We start from the raw sequence: 16,244 nt of genomic DNA, 5'->3' as shown, positions 1-16,244 counted from the left end.
AGCGACAGTGTCCATTACCTGCTCCCACAAACCCCAAGAAAGTCAGGATCAGGAGAGGTGATCCGCTGGCAAAGACGCCCAAGACAAAACTGAAGAGGGGAGACAGGAGAATGGTGGCCCAGGACAGGAAGTTCAGGAGGGTCCACGGCCTCCGGGCAGGCTTAAACTGCTCCCCTGGAAACATGCCCTTCTGATTATATATCTCCTGGAGCGCGTCCTAGAAGAGTCAACAGAGAAAAAGGAAGCGTGAGGCTTCTTTACAAGCTATTATTTCAATGCAGGAGAAGATTGTTGGCAATGAAAAACGACTCAACCTAAAAAAAGCGCCACGTCAATTAAGAGCACAAATCACAGAAGCTGCAGGTGCAGGCGAAGCTGGCTGTACGTTTTTGGAGAATCTGATAGCGTGCATCGAGAGCTCGCAAGCATATCAACCCTTTGACTGAGGAAGTCTCCCAGGAAAATAATCGGTCAAGAAAGCAACGTTGTGAATACCAACACCTGCCTGCCCAGCACTGCCCCGGCCACCCGCCACATCCCACACCTCCCACGAGCCAGAGGCAGTGGGGGTGGCAGGTGTGGCCTGTGTGAGTCCCGCGGCCTGGATGCAAATCCCTGCAAAGCGCACTCTCAGCTGCACGGCCCAAGGAAAGTTCCTTAACCTCGCATACCTCGGTTTCCTAGCCTGGCAAAGGAGGCTAATGAGGAGCTGGGAGGAGAGAGGAGCCTGGCCAGGGCCACCTGCAGAAGGTTCTGCCTCTGGTGGGAATGTCAAAGGCACAGGCTGGCAGGAAATCACCATGCCTGATAGAGCAGACACTCCGCAGCCACTGCCCGTGGGCGGGGCAGCCCGTGGGACTCTAGGATGCTTGGGAAGTAGTGAAGGGCACCATCAACTCTCTCGTTTTTTTTTGTTTTTTTTTTTTTTTTGAGATGGAGTCTCACTCTGTCGCCCAGGCTGGAGTGCAGTGGTACGATCTCGGCTCACTGCAACCTCTGTCTCCCGGGTTTAAGCGATTCTCCTGCCTCAGCCTCCTGAGTAGCTGGGATTACAGGTGCCCACTACTGCGCTAATTTTTGTATTTTTAGTGGAGACAGGGTTTCACCATGTTGGCCAGGCTTGTCTCGAACTCCTGATCTCGTGATCCACCCACTTCGGCCTCCCAAAGTGCTGGGATTACAGATGTGAGCCACCACACCTGGCCGACCCGCTCTCTTTTAAAGATGGTTGGAGACTGTTATCACTGAGCTCACTGGCTTCAAGATATTTTTTCTAGTTGATCTCTTTGATCTCTTCATGGTTCTCAGCTTCCTGCTGGAAACTGGGGTTGGGGTGCCCCCTGCCAGCCACACACTGTGTCCGTGCAAAGGCAGGTGTCATCGTGTCCTGGCCACCCCTGAGCACCCAGCTCCCTGCCTCCGGAATGTCCCCGAGTGTCCTGGCACACACATTTTGGCTGTGTGCTTCTTGAACTATGTTGTTTGTATAAATTCAAACTTCAAGCCTGTTGGAGGACAGGCCTGTAATTATGAATTCCCAGGAAGACTTTCTTGAGCCCAAGAGGAGAAAGGCAGGTTTCAAGGCCATTTCTCTGTGCTGGGAGGTAATTTTCTTTTCCAGTTTAACCTTCCTGAGGGTCCAATTCTTAGAGGGTCCCAGCATCATGTGGGGTTTTTGGTTCTAACGTCCCGCCTTGAATGAGGGGAAATCTTTATCTTCTGTTTCCATGTAGGCATCACAGCACGAGACTTCAGGGGATGGGGCAGGCAGAAAGCACCAGGTGGGCATGGTGCTGCTGGCTCCCAGGCCCAGGACCGAGTCTCAGCCCCACCTCCCTTTTCAGTCCTGGAGATTTCCCTTTTTTTTTTTCTTTCTTTTTTTTTCTTTCTTTTTTTTTTTTTTTTTTGAGTTGGAGTCTCACTCTGTTGCCCAGGCTGCAGTGCAATGGGGCGATCCTGGCTCCTGCAACCCCCACCTCCTGGGTTCAAGCGATTCTCCTGCCTCAGCCTCCCCAGTAACTGGGATTACAGGCATGCGCCACCAGGCCCAGCTAATTTTTTGTATTTTTAGTAGAGACGGGGTTTCACCCATGTTGGTCAGGCTGGTCTTGAACTCCTGACCTCAGGTGATCTGCCCACCTCGGCCTCCCAAAGTGCTGGGATTACAGGCATGAGCCACAGCACCCGACCGATTTCCCTTATTTTCTTGAGAGCCCATCAATGCATTTACGATGATATTTTTTACATCCTGGGAGGATTTCCTGGTTATCTCCTCTCCCACAAGGCCGACAGTGGAAATCGAATGCCCCATGCATTTGTGCGTATAAAACAAAGAGAAAGTAGTTCTTGGGCTGAGTAAGCCGTGGGGGAAAGAAATAAGAACTGAGTGTGGTTTTCAAAGCAATGCTCTAACATCCCTAATTTGTTTCTGTTATACAAGGAGTCTAGTGACCATCTATGTCTGTTACATACCTGTAATGTCTTTTAAGAAAATGAAACAAATGTGACCAAATGTTACCAGCCATAATTATACAGGCATCATGTTACCCTTCATACTTGTCTGTAGTTTGTTAATTTCTCAAACATTAAGAAGAAGGGACCAGGTGTGGTGGCTCATGCCTGTAATCCCAGCACTTTGGGAGGCCGAGGCCAGAAGATTGCTTGAGCCCAGGAGTTGAATACCAGCCTGGAAACATAGTGGGACCTCATTTCTACAAAGATACATTTTTTGAATCATTAGCTGAATATGGTGGCTTGCGCCTGTAGCTCCAGCCACCCGGGAGGCTGAGGCAGGAGGATCGCTTGAGCCCAGGAGGTCAAGGCAGCAGTGAGCCAGGATCGCACCACTGCACTCCAGCCTGGGTGACAAAGTGAGACCCTGTCTCAGAAAACAAAACAAAACAAAAACAAAAACAAAACAAAACAACAGAAAGAAGAAATGAAAGAAGGATCAGGAGTATTTAGGACCTGGGTGGCACTCCTGTCTCCCACGGAGTTCCCACGTGTCACCTGCCTGCTCGCCAGCACCCCTTCCACAGCCTCTTCAGGAGACCGGGACCCTGAGCGGGAGCAGAGCCTGCTTACCTTCTCCTGGTACAGTTTATGAAGCCACTGAGCTGCTTCCTTTTCATCCAGCGGGATGTCTTCCAGAGGAAATCTCCTGTTTTATGAAGAAGATTCAAGGTAGGGTGAATCACCACATGACCTCACACTAGAAAGAGGGCACAGGGGAACATGTCGTGTGCCAGGGTGGCCTATGGGCCCCACTCCTTCTGTCACATCTCACTCTCAATTTCTTTTCTTTTCTTTTTTTTTTTTTTGAGATGGAGTCTCGCTCTGTTGCCAGGCTGGAGAGCACTGGTGCGATCTCTGCTCACTGCAACCTCTGCCTCCCGGATTCAAGTGATTCTCCTGCCTCAGCCTCCCCAGCAGCTGGGACTACAGGCATGCGCCACCACGCCCAGCTAATTTTTTTTCTTTGTATTTTTTTTTAGTAGAGACGGGGTTTCACCATGTTGACCAGGATGGTCTCGATCTCTTGACCTCGTGATCCACCCGCCTCAGCCTCCCAAAGTGCTGGGATTACAGGCGTGAGCCACTGCGCCCAGCCTCTCACTCTCAATTTCTAAAAACAAACATTAAATGAGCTTCTCCTCAGGCATCCGCCCTGAGTACACAGTCAGCGTGGCATGGCGGCGAGAGGCCAGGATGTGGCCTTCTGTGCAGGGTGGCGGCAGCATTAACCCCCAGGGTGCCCACGAGTGATTTAACCGGGCAGGCCACGCCCCTGGTCCCATGAGAAGGGTGGTCATGTGTGCGCTCCCGAGAGTTCTGGTCTTTCTTAATATGTTCATTCTTCAGAGACAGTCATGACTGAGAGTGTCTTTCATTAGGCAAAGATTATTTCACAAATGAAATCCACTTGCTTCAAATATGAAAAGTATTAAAAATGTAGGCATTTTCATCTCCATTATGAAATAGCTGATTTCTGTCTGGACACTCATTTATTTACATACTAAATCTACCAAGATTAAGTGCTAATCTACCAAATGGATTAGCAGCCCACAAGTTGACACCTCTACTTGGTAAGATAAGCAGGGTAATTACAAATTACCTAATTGGACAAATCTAATCGGAAAATTTTAAATGAGTAACATGTTACAGCTCTTATTTTAAAAGTCAGTTGGAATTTGAGTAAGTACACAGGGTAAGCCGCTCACATATGATATATTAAAATCTTTTAAATACTTTTACAATTTAATAAGAACACCAAGTTTGCCAGCTAGGATGACGGTGGTGACTAAGGCAGCAGTGATACTGTGTGTACGGGAGCTGGGATTCAGGGGCTGCCACGTCCACAGCGCCCGTCACTGAGCCACACGGCAAGACGTCAGGTAGGCGTGACCTGTTTTCACTGGTGCCCAGTTCTCCCTTCCCTCTGGGCAGTTAAGAAAAACACATATCTGAACAAGTTGGCTACTATTCAAAACAGGCTATTCAGGCTATTAATTTATATAAACAGGTTGTTTATATAAATTAAGCAATAAAATTAAAAACACTGATATAAGAACAAAATTTGGCTCATGTGTCTGAAGAGTTTTCTTAGAACGTGAATGTACTCTTTCATTCAAAACAATTATGAAAGTTATACGAAATTCATAAAATCTTGCCTTACAGTCAAACTGATTAAAATTAAATTCATTTTCAGCCGGGCACAGTGGCTCATGCCTGTAATCCCAGCACTTCGGGAAGCCGAGGGGCAGGCAGACCACGAGGCCAGGAGTTCAAGACCAGCCTGACCAACATGGTGAAACCCCATCTCTACTAAGACTACAAAAATTAGCCAGATGTGGTGGAATGTGCCTGTAATCCCAGCTACTCGAGAGGCCAAGGCAGGCAGATCACGAGCTCAGGAGTTCGAGACCAGCCTGACCAACATGGTGAAACCCCATCTCTACTAAGACTACAAAAATTAGCCAGACATGGTGGAATGCGCCTGTAATCCCAGCTACTCGAGAGGCTGAGACAGGAGAATTGCTAGAACCAGAAGGCGGAGGTTGCAGTGAGATGAAATTGCACCACTGCACTCCAGCCTGGGTGACAGAGCGAGACTCCGTCTCAAAAAAAAAAAATAAAAATCATTTTCTATAAAATTTTATTGAAAATTAACTTCAACATTAACAAAAATAAAATGTGGTTTTCTCTTAAAAAAAAAAAAAAGGAAAAGAAAAACACACATCCCTGCCTCCCACAAGTCGCTTCCGTAAGGGAGCATCTTAACAGCGGGTGCTCAATGCTGCCTCTTCCCTGCGACGGCCGTCAGAGAATCACTTTGCTAAGGAAGGGCGGCCCCGTGCCACCAGGTGGGGACAGCTGGGCTGCCCCGAGCACTGTCTGGGCTCATCGTGGACCTTTATGAGGGAGAAGCAAATCGCTGCGTTGTAAGCCAAAAACAAAAACGAAAACAAACAAACAAAAAAAACCCAAAATTAAGATACACAGGTAGGAACCTGCTGTCCACGGGCAACCGCAGTGCTCCCAGCGCCCAGGAGGGGGCGACGACGCACCTCAGAGCAGGAAAGACCAGGCTTGAGCTGCGGGGCCCATGGGTGAGGTTTCCACAGCCAGGCAGGTCTCCACGCTCTAGGGTCACGCGCCTCACACTTCTGTCTAGGAACTGAGGAACCCAAAGCTTTGGTGTATGAGGATTCCACCTATGGATCCTCACCCCATCAGAAGTGAAAGCTGAGTCTCGTTGCAACACAAGCACACGCCAGCATGCGTCATACACCAGCACCCACCACACACCAGTGCACACACCGACACATGCCAGCACATGCCACACACATGCCAGCACACACCAGAACATACCACACGCCAGCACACGCCAGCACACTACATGCCAGCACACACCAAAACATACCACACGCCAGCACACACCAGAACACACCACACACCAGCACACACCAAAACATTACCACACACCAGCACACACCAGAACACACCACACGTTAGCACATGCCATACACCAGCACCCACCACACACCAGCACACCTCGACACATACCACATGCCAGCACACACTACACACCAGTGCACACACTGGCACATGCCAGCACATGCAACATGCCAGCACATACACATCACATGCGAGTGCACAACACACACATCAGCAAACGCCAGTACACAACAGCACACAGCACACACCAGCACACATGCAGTGTTCACAAGCCTCTGCCGCATGCTGGTGAGCAGATGGCTATGAAGACAACATCACGTCCCAGTAAATAAAAGCAGCTTCACATTGGCCCCAGGTTCAACTGGCATGGGGAGGATTTGCCACAGACGCCATGTGAGGAACAACCGAGGCGCAGAGGCTTCTTTGTCTACAGTGAGGGGAGGGGCCTGCCCAGAGGCCCACACTGGCTGGCTGTGGTCCCTGACACACACAGCCCCATGTCGTACACACCACACACATCAAACACATACAATTTATACACACCACACACACCAACCCTGATTCATATACACACACCACACACACATTTATAATTTATACACACCACACCACACATATCAAACACATAATTTATACACACACACCACACACACACCACCCTCACGATTTATATACACACACTACACACACACCACACACATATAATTTACACACACACCACATGACACACTATACCACACATACCCCACACACCAAACCCACCCATTTTGCACACACATGCACATTTATAATTTATACACACATACCACACACAGTTCAACACACACCACAAATATAATTTACACACACCATACCTCACACACCACACACACATCACACACACCATACACATATGTAATTTATACACACGCCACACTATACACACACCACATACATCACCCCACACGAATATATAATTTATACAAATTTTTACACACATACCACACACATATAATTTATACACACATATAATTTATACACACATAGATAATTTATATGCACACTATACTGCAAATACCACACCCATATACAACACACACATAATTTACACACAATGCACATACGTACACCACACATGCACACATCACATATACTACATACATAATACACACCACACATACACATCCCACATGAACACACACACACCCACACATGCCCCACATACAGGTTTTATCGTATGTCTGTTACATACATTATGAAACATATAAACATAAGAATTAAAAATAAGATAAAAAGTAAATATAAATAAAAATTCTATTTTTTTTCTGCACCCCAGGGTGTCACCCTGAGCATCTGCCTCCTGGAGCTGACTCAAGCCACTTGAAGGCCCTCGGCCCAGGGGCCAGCCCTGGGGACAGGAGAGCCCTGCAGCCGTCCTGCACACATTGGCCCTGCTTCCCCATGGCCCTGGGCATCGCCACCAAAGCAGGAGGAAAGAGGGCCAGCCCCATGCTGTGGGGAGCCTGGCGCTGTGATGGCTCGGCTGCAGGGGCGCGCGGGGACACTGCTGCTCCTCAAACAGCGAAGCGGTGAGTGACCTGAACAGCCGAAGCCTTACAAGTTCAAAGCGAGTATTTATTAAAATATGATCGGGCAAAATAAAGGCAGCGGCAGGGAGGATGGCGGATGAGGAGTCTCTCCGTGGGGGGCTGTGTGGCACCCGAGGCGGAGGCGCCGTGCAGCTTGGCGGGTGGCCGGGCTCCTCCATGGCCAGTGCTGACCTTGGACAGCTACTCTGACCACCCAGCCTCAAGCCACCACTAACCACCCAAGGATGAGAGCAAGACGTGCCTCAAGGGCTCCTCTCGTGAAGATGACTGAGGCCAGCTGTGGCCAGGATCTGGCACAGGGCCACCAGCTGCTATCATCCCCTCTCATGTCCTGTCCCAGCCTGCCATCTGGACCGTCCAGGGCCCCGGTCAGTCACCGCAGCCTCCATGGTCCACAGTGGCTCAGAGCTCCCTCCCAGGGGTTTTAGGCACATAAGGGAGAGAACTCTCAGCTCGTGGCCCCACTGACCCCGGGTCGGGAGAAGAACGCCTCCGCCTCTAATCAGCCAGTCCTTGAACTTCAGAAAGGAGTGTTACCTAGCTTATGTTTATGTTCACAAACCCTTCCTGGAAACCTCCTATAGTACGGCCAGAACTGGGTGGTGTCGTTTTGCTTCGTTTAATTTGTACATGCTCAGGCTCTCGAGATTAGAATGTAGAGGGCCTGTGGCCACCGTGGGCAGGCTCGGCTGATCAGGACGCACACTCAGTTGGTGGTGGTTGGATTGCAAATATGGAAACACATATAGTGACCGCTCTGTGCAGCTTTACATGTGGCAAGGAGGGCCCTGCCTTTCCGCACACACTTGAATGAAACCAGAGACTGACAAGCTCAACAAGGGCCATCCAGCGCACGGTTTCTTCGTGCCTCAAAGGCCTGCCTGAAATGATGATTTGTGCTGGAATCAAGGTCACAACCCCAGCCTGTGTTTTAAGTCAACAGGATTTCTGGGTGGATTTTCTCCTCTATGTGAGCCAGAGAAGCTTGGAGAGTCCAAGGGCAGCAACGGATTGGTGGCGGCACCCACAGCCCTGACTGTGTGGGGAAAGAGACACACTGCCCCAAGGAAAGCCGCTGGTACCCTGCAGAGCAAGCCCCAGGCTCCTCCTGGGGTCTAGACACGCCACTCCCATTTTATTTCATTGGGACAGGACTGGGGCCCCATAGCACTGAAGCCCCAACTCTCAAGACAGGGTTTGAAAAAGGCTCTTCGGCCCAACGTGGTGGCTCACACCTGTAATCCCAGCACTTTGGGAGGCCGAGGCAGGCAGATCACTTGAGGTCAGGAGTTCGAGTCCAGCCTGGACAATATGGTAAAACCCTGTCTCTACTAAAAAAATATGAAATTAGCCAGGCGAGGTAGTGGGCACCTGTAATCCCAGCTACTCAGGAGGCTGAGACAGGAGAATTGCTTGAACCGGGGAGGCGGAGGTTGCAGTGAGCCAAGATTGAGCCACTGCATGCCAGCCTGGGCGATGGGGTGAAACTCCGTCTCCAAGAAAAAAAAAAATCAAACAGGCTCTTCCTTTCCCTTCACCACTGTCTCCTTCAGACACTGCGGTCCCTCGCGTGCTGCGGCTGCCATCACCAGGGCCAGCAGAAAGCCACTCCCATCACCAGCGCTGCTTCAGGCCAGGGGCTCCGCAGGTGGTCCCGTCCTGCCCACCAAGAGACCTGCCTGGGTTTCACCCCTCGGTGAGAAGTCAGCACCGTATGCCCCCCAGGTCGTGTGACTGTGGGCCCCAGGAGACTTATGGAGCCCAGTGGGGTTTGAGACAAAGCCCACAAAGGGACAGAGCATCTTACAGAGGGAACTACAGGGGCTTCCCAAGGAGGCAGAAGGAGAGGATGGAGGTGGCCTCGAAAGCCAGGTCAATGATTTCCCCAAAGGAATGAAACACACCGTGGGCAATGGTGAGTCTCCCCACACATCCCCCGTGTCTCCATGTCCTCTCCGTGGCCTGCAACCCAAGCCCCGGACGAGTCCTGCAGGGCCTCTCCTGTGTCTGCTCAGCAGGGCAGGGCTGCAGACAGGCCTTCCGTGTGAGTTCCACCCTGCGGGGCTGTGGGACGTGGGGCCTGGACCCAGCCACCCTCCTGGCCTCTGCCCAGCGCAAGCTCATGAAGGTATGGGGGGCGGCGCGAGAGCCACAGGGTCTGGCCTCACCTCACGCACATGTCCGCCTCGTACTTCTTCCCGTAGAGGATCCCCAGCAGGGACGGGTTCTTGTTTCCTCTGAAGTTCAGGGTTACATCATAGACAGCTGCGACTGTGGGAGGAGACGGGAGGGTGAATGACCCAGCCCAGGCGGCTGCATGGTCACTGCCAGAGGGAAAAGCAAGTTCCACCTGGGACCCGGCCCCGTCCTGGGGAGAACGCGTGAGGGGTCTGGCCCCGTCCTGGGGAGAACACACCAGGACCTCTTCTCTAAGTTTTCTTTCCCCCTCTTTTTTCCCCATTCTCTGTTGGTGAGGGCATTTAGTGGCTGACGTTTCCCATGGGTACTGACGCTGTGAGTGTGACCCTGCTGTCTGGCTGTTTTCTGTTCTTTGTCCCTTTCTTTTATTTTGACTCCTTTTGGATTAATAAGATACAATAATGATTATTTTCCCTTCATAAGGTTTTGCATTATGTATTTTTTATTATTTTAATTGTTTCTCATGAATTAGCATTTTATCACCTCAAAACCTGACGCGGGAACCTTGCGGCGCCGACCCCCTCACTTGATTCCTTTTGCACTTCTGTTCTTCTGTGTTTCACATGGAATGCACTCATTTTTTTTTTTTTTAAAGAAATCACTATTTTCCGTGAGCATAGCGGTGGCCCCGGCTCGGGCAGTCTGGGGCCTACCTGTCCCCCGGAGGCACTTGACTGCGGTGGTGAAGCCCTTGGTCCGCGGCAGCAGGTGGTACTTGAGGACAGGAAGCCCCTTAGCAGCCGCCACCTCCATGCTAACGCGGTGCTTGGTCTCCGTGAAGCGCGTCCCCTCGCAGTACAGGAGAAACTAGGATCAACACGGAGACAGGGTCACTCCACAGAGCAGCTGGGGTGGGTGCATGTCCAGGCCAGGCCTGCCTCTCTGACAGGCAGCAAAGGTTGTGGCTGAATTTGTGGAAATCTTGGAACCGCTTTAGCGAGCAGCATGGGTTATGACTGAAAGGTTCTTTTATTCTAGGGCCACAGTCTGCACTCCAGTCACACACGTTCATTCACACAGGAGAGCTCTCCAGAAAGAACTTTCCAGAAAGAAGTGAAACATGAAGGTGTGTTGGGGCAGCAGCCTCTGAGCAGTGTGAAAACAGAGAGGGTTTCATCGACTTGCCACAGCATGAGTTAGAAATGTTAACAGCAGGCCGGGCGTGGTGGCTCACCCCTGTAATCCCAGCACTTTAGGAGGCCGAGGCGGGTGGATCATGAGGTCAGGAGTTCAAGACCAGCCTGGCCAACATGGTGAAACCCCGTCTCTACTGAAAATACAAAAATTAGCCAGTCGTGGTGGTGAGTGCCTGTAATCCCAGCAACTTGGAGGCTGAGAGAGGAGAACTGCTGGAACCCGGGAGGCAGAGGTTGCAGTGAGCTGAGATCATGCCACTGCACTCTAGCCTGGGTGACAGACTAAGGCTCTGTCTCAAAACAAAAAAAAAGAAATGCTAACAGCAGGCTGGCAAGCTGGCTCATGCCTATAATCCCAGCACTTTGGGAGGTCAAGGTGGGCGGATCACCTGAGGTCAGGAGTTTGAGACCAGCCTGGCCAACATGGTGAAACCCCATCTCTACTAAAAATACAAAAAATTAGCCAGGTGTGGTGGCACGCACCTGTAATGTCAGCTACTTGGGAGCCTGAAGCAGGAGAATCGCTTAAATCTGGGAGGTGGTGGTTGCAGTGACCCGAGATTGCACCACTGCACTCCAGCCTGGGCGACAGAGCGAGACTCCGTTTCAAACACACACACACACACAAAAACACACACAACAAAACGAACAAGAAAACAAAAAAACAGAAATGCTAACAGCACAGGCAGCCCATTTTCCAAGACAGACCAGGAAGAAGGGACAGAAAAAGAATGGGGATGCACACTGAGCAGGGCGGGCAGAGCCAGGGCTCACTGGGGGCACCCTGCTCTGCCCCCTCCCCCGGCCAGATCCCCTTAGGATGGCCTGGTCAGAGCTGGGATTGCGGCGAGTAGCAAGCAGGTGGCCCAAGAGAAGCCTCCACGCCTGCAGCTCAGATGGGGGAGTCATGGCCCCATGGAAACAGCACCCCATGTGCAGAGGCTCTCATGGGGTTTCCCAGCCTGGGATGTGGGCAGCCGTGCATCAGGAGTTGGCGTGGCCTCCTCCAGGCATGCAGGGTATCGGGCTGCTCCGCGCACTCACCCACATGTACTCGGGGTAGTCCGACAGGCGCCTCAGCCCTTCGACCACGGTGTCCCGGTCCTCCTCCCACTTCCGCTTGCAGAACACAATCTCCAGAAAGTACCACGTCCAGCCGATGAGGGGCACGTAGAGCAGCTCCTTCTTAGCGAGGACCTTGGAGCTCTGGAGGGAGGAGAAGGAGGGGCACCTGGCACTTCAGCGTCGGACAGAGGCCAGGGGCTTGGCCAGGCTCCCGCTGCACCCAGCTCCTGTGTGGTGTCGCTCTAGGAGTCACGGCTTTGTGGCTCAGGGGGTCTGCTGTGAAGCAGGACCCGGCTTCTGAGGGTGAGTGGGTCGCCCCAGAAATGAGGAAACTGAGGCTCAGGCTTGGCTGGGAGGGCCCTCAGGGAAGGTGGATGAGCCGGATGCAGAGGCTGCCAGGCTTCCGGGGGGTGGCCTGGGGGTGCTGCCTCACACAGGGGCTTTGACTGCAATGAAATTCTTCTGCCAGCATCGGGGAGTAGTTTAGGTTTCATCTGAGGCAGCTTAGCTAACGGAAGTGGTTCTGCAGGGACGCAGGTGGGGTCATCTCAAAGGCAAAGGCCATGATGAGAAAGGAGGGCACAGCTCGGGGACAGCTGAGGCCCTGCGGGCCAGGGCCCCTCAACCAGCCAGGCACCACTGCCGAGCTCAAAGAGACGCCCCAGGAGGAACACCCAGGGACTCGGACCCCAGGGGCCTCCCCGGCACCTCCTCAGGGAGTCCCCTGCTCCCCTAGCCCTTTCCCTGGGAAACCCAAGGCTCTCCCAGCTCCTCTGCTGGGACCCCCACTGCTCCACCCAGTACCTCCCCCACCCAGGGCCCTCTTGCTCACCCCAGCACCCGCCTACTCCCCCAGATCCTCCCCAGGACCCTTGCCGCTCACTCCCAGCACCTCCCCTGGAAGGTGCTCACCCTAGCCTCTCCCTGGGACCCCCCACTCACCCCCAGCCCTCCCCAGGACCACCCCACCCTGCTCATCCCCAGCCCTCCTGGGACCCCGCCCAGCTCACTCCCAGTCACCACCCCACCCCCAGCCCTGCAGGGACCCCCTGCTCACCCCGGCCCTCCCTGGGTCCCCGCTCACCCCCGGCCCTCCCCGGGACCCTCCTGCTCACCCGTGGCCCTCCCCAGGTCCCCGCTCACCCCCAGCACTCCGAAGCGCTCACACATGGTCCACCCACAGAGGAAGTCGATCTCGAAGTTGTGGTTGAGGATGATGACTGCGTGCTCCTTCCCAAAGCGCTCTACCGTGGCCTGGTCCGTGAACAGTGTACACTCCGTGCAGGACCACCACTCCAGCAGCATGACCAGTTCTGCGGACAGGGGGAGGGCGTTGGCACTGGTAGGACCCCTCCTCCTGGGATGGTCAGGGAGCGCCCACAGGAGACACCTACAGTATTTTTGTCCAGAGAGGAAGTCTCTGCTAAACATGAGTTTTGATGACTTACACTGAGTACGTTTTATGAAATTACAATAACTTTCTCTAAGCAACAGTTGGGAGGAGACAGATGGAAGGTAGCAGCAGAAAGGGAGAGAACCGCCACTCTGCATGGAGACGCTGATCTTTACGCCCAATTACGCTTCTCACGTGCACCTTGGTGTGGCCGAGTACCGCACAGCCACGCCCCGTGAGAGGTGCAGAAGATGAAAAATGTCACTAGATGATTAGGAAGCAGAAAACAACCATCGTATGTCTGCAGAACAGACAGTGGGAAAAAATGAAGAGTTAAGAGCAGAATGGAATTATAGACGACAGAGTAATAGGAATTATATTTTCTCCTAAAACTTGCTTTGGGGTTACACTGGTTTTCCATATTTAAAAAAAAGCCATGTGAGGCCTAGCCCGCCCCCAGGAAGGCCGGCTGGGGGTGCTCGACGGGGCTTGCTGCTGGGCAGGTGGCCAGAGGCCTGCGGGGTCCCCAGAGACAGCAGGGCACACCTGACCCCGTGGGTGCTGGCATGTGAGGGGTGCCAGTCCTGGCTTTGAGTGCTTGTCCCCCCCACCCAGGGGTTCTTGGAGCCTCCTCCCTTGGTCTCTTCCCCTGGCTCCGGCCTGGTGAGCTGAAGACACTCTTCCCAGAAGTGTGGAGGGGCTCGTGCCGGGAGATCTGTTTGCCGGCAGGAGACCTGCACGCCTGGGAGGGCTCTGGGGCTGCTGGGAACGCAGCATCGTCTGTCTCCTGATGGGGACTCTGGGATGCCCTCATTCACCTTCGGGAGAACTGCAGGGCTGAAGAGTTCCGTGGTGAGAACGGTGCATCTTTGTCACACGTGGGCCTCAGAGGGAGTTAGTCCTGTTCAGAGGGCCATGTGGGGAAGGACAAGAGGGAGGCCAAGCAGGTGGGCCTCTTGTCGGCCACCAGAGTCTTGTGCCCCCCAGCCAGTTGTCCGGGAAGGATGGCCCCACAGAACCAGGACGCGGCTTCCAGCTCAGGACGGCCTCAGGCTTCTCGCGCTGGACACCAGCCCAGCTCTGAAGTGTGGGCTTTCTGCAAGGCCATTGCCCGGGGTTCTTTTATACCAGTTATTTATAAAGGACACTAGAGACCAATTCCAAAGACATCCTGCACGGGTGAACAAAGGGCCGCTACCCGAGATCACGCAGCTCAGCCCAGGATGGCCAGAGACGCCTGCAGACAGCGTGCAGGTGCAGGGAAGTGTCTTCCCAGCGGTCATGATGCTGCAGGCACATGCAGGCGAGCAGAAAGGACGCAGAAAGGAGAGAGGGAACTCAGGGTTTGTGGGGGTACCAAGGGACCCCAATTCCTTTAAAAGAGAAAGGTCACCTGTGGGCAGAGGCAGTGGACGGGAGGAAATCCTGCGTGTGGGGAGAAGACTCGCTGACCAAGCCCCCACAGCAGGCCTGCCCTGGCAGGGGCGCCCCCACCGCTGGCTCACCCCTGGCAAGTGCTTGAGACCTCTGCCTTTAGGGTCATGCCTAAAGGCTGGAGAAGGGGAATGAACTGAATGGGAGCCCACACAGCCAGCCAGACACAGGCACACTCCCCATGAGTGTTCTGGAAAGACGAGCTGCGCTGTCTGGAGAATGGTCCCATCCAAAGGTCACCTGTGGCAAGCCCAGGGACATGTGGCACTTTTCCCTTGCTGTCGGCATGCAAAGGCAGCCTTCAGCGGATCTCAGGACCCCTCGGCTGACGCTGGCTAACTGCAGACAGCTGTCAGGGCAGGCATCTGTAAACTGTCTTGCAGGGTGGGCGGCGCCTGGGCCCGATATGAAATTCCTTTTATCATTTCCTTCACTCAAATACATGCTTCCCTAAAGCACAATGAGTAAGCCAGCCATAGCCTATTTTTCAACCACGGATTTAAAAAAATCTAAAATTCTGGACGGGTGCGGTGGCTCAAGCCTGTAATCCCAGCACTTTGGGAGGCCGAGACAGGAGGATCACTTGAGGCCAGGAGTTCAAGACCAGCTGGGGAAGCATGGCAAAAGCCCATCTCTACTTAAAAATAAAAAAAATTAGCTGGATGTGGTGGCAGGCACCTGTAATCCCAGCTACTTGGGAGGCTGGGGCACGAGAATCACTTGAACCTCAGAAGATGGAGGTTGCAGTGAGCCAAGATCGCACTGCTGTGCTCCAGCCAGGACAACAGAGAGACTCTGTCTCAAAACAACAACAACAACAAAAAAAACCTAAAATTCACCCAATAATAGTAACAATTTATCAAGCATTGCTGTGTACCTGCTGTGCGCATTGATTTAGGCTTTATAAGACAGCTCAAAGGCAGGTGGTTTTGTCTGTGCTCTGCAGATGAGAAAGCTGAGGTTTAGAGACTGAAGCCTTGACCAAGGTCAGCAGGGAGTGAGGAGGCTGGGCCAGGTTGTTTAAACGGCTCCAAACCTGCACCCTTCGCCGCAGCACCTATAGCTCTGCACATCAGATGACAGCAGAGACACACTGGCAGTGAGTTCAAAATGGGCAGCAAGAAGGCACCCAGCATTAAGGAATGAGAACAGGAATGAAGAATTGAAAATAAAACCGTGGTTCAGGGTCATCAGAAAACACTGTGGCTGGTGCGGTGGCTCAGCCTGTAATCCCAGCAGCCCAGCAGGCTGAGGCAGGAGGATCACATGAGCCTAGGAGTTGGAGACCAGTCTGGGCAACATGGCAAAACCCTGTCTCTACAAAAAATACAAAAATTAGCTGGGCATGATGGTGCACACCTGTGGTCTCAGCTACTCAAGGAGGCTGAGGTAGGAGGACTGCTTGAGCCCAGGAGGCAGAGATTGCAGTGAGCCAAGATCACACCACTGCACTCCAGCCTGGGCGACAGA

The 16,244-nt window shown here is 52.9% G+C and overlaps 1 protein-coding gene across 28 annotated transcripts in view; it reads right to left on the bottom strand.

The window, feature by feature from the left end:
- The window catches only part of AGPAT3 (1-acylglycerol-3-phosphate O-acyltransferase 3), a 122,370-nt gene that overhangs the window by 6,387 nt on the left and 99,739 nt on the right, over positions 1–16,244 (bottom strand). For all 28 annotated transcript variants that reach the window (XM_047440922.1, XM_047440916.1, XM_047440921.1 and 25 more), the window contains 6 exons: positions 13,091–13,260; positions 11,927–12,088; positions 10,400–10,553; positions 9,716–9,818; positions 3,085–3,160; positions 19–217 (listed from right to left, as the gene is read on the bottom strand). In XM_047440922.1, coding sequence (XP_047296878.1) covers positions 19–217; positions 3,085–3,160; positions 9,716–9,818; positions 10,400–10,553; positions 11,927–12,088; positions 13,091–13,260 — 864 coding nt within the window. The remainder of the gene's footprint in view (positions 1–18; positions 218–3,084; positions 3,161–9,715; positions 9,819–10,399; positions 10,554–11,926; positions 12,089–13,090; positions 13,261–16,244) is intronic.

Source organism: Homo sapiens, chromosome 21 (genome assembly GCF_000001405.40).
Source record: "Homo sapiens chromosome 21, GRCh38.p14 Primary Assembly".
NCBI lineage: Eukaryota > Metazoa > Chordata > Mammalia > Primates > Hominidae > Homo > Homo sapiens.
This window is presented reverse-complemented; position numbering and strand designations above follow the sequence as displayed.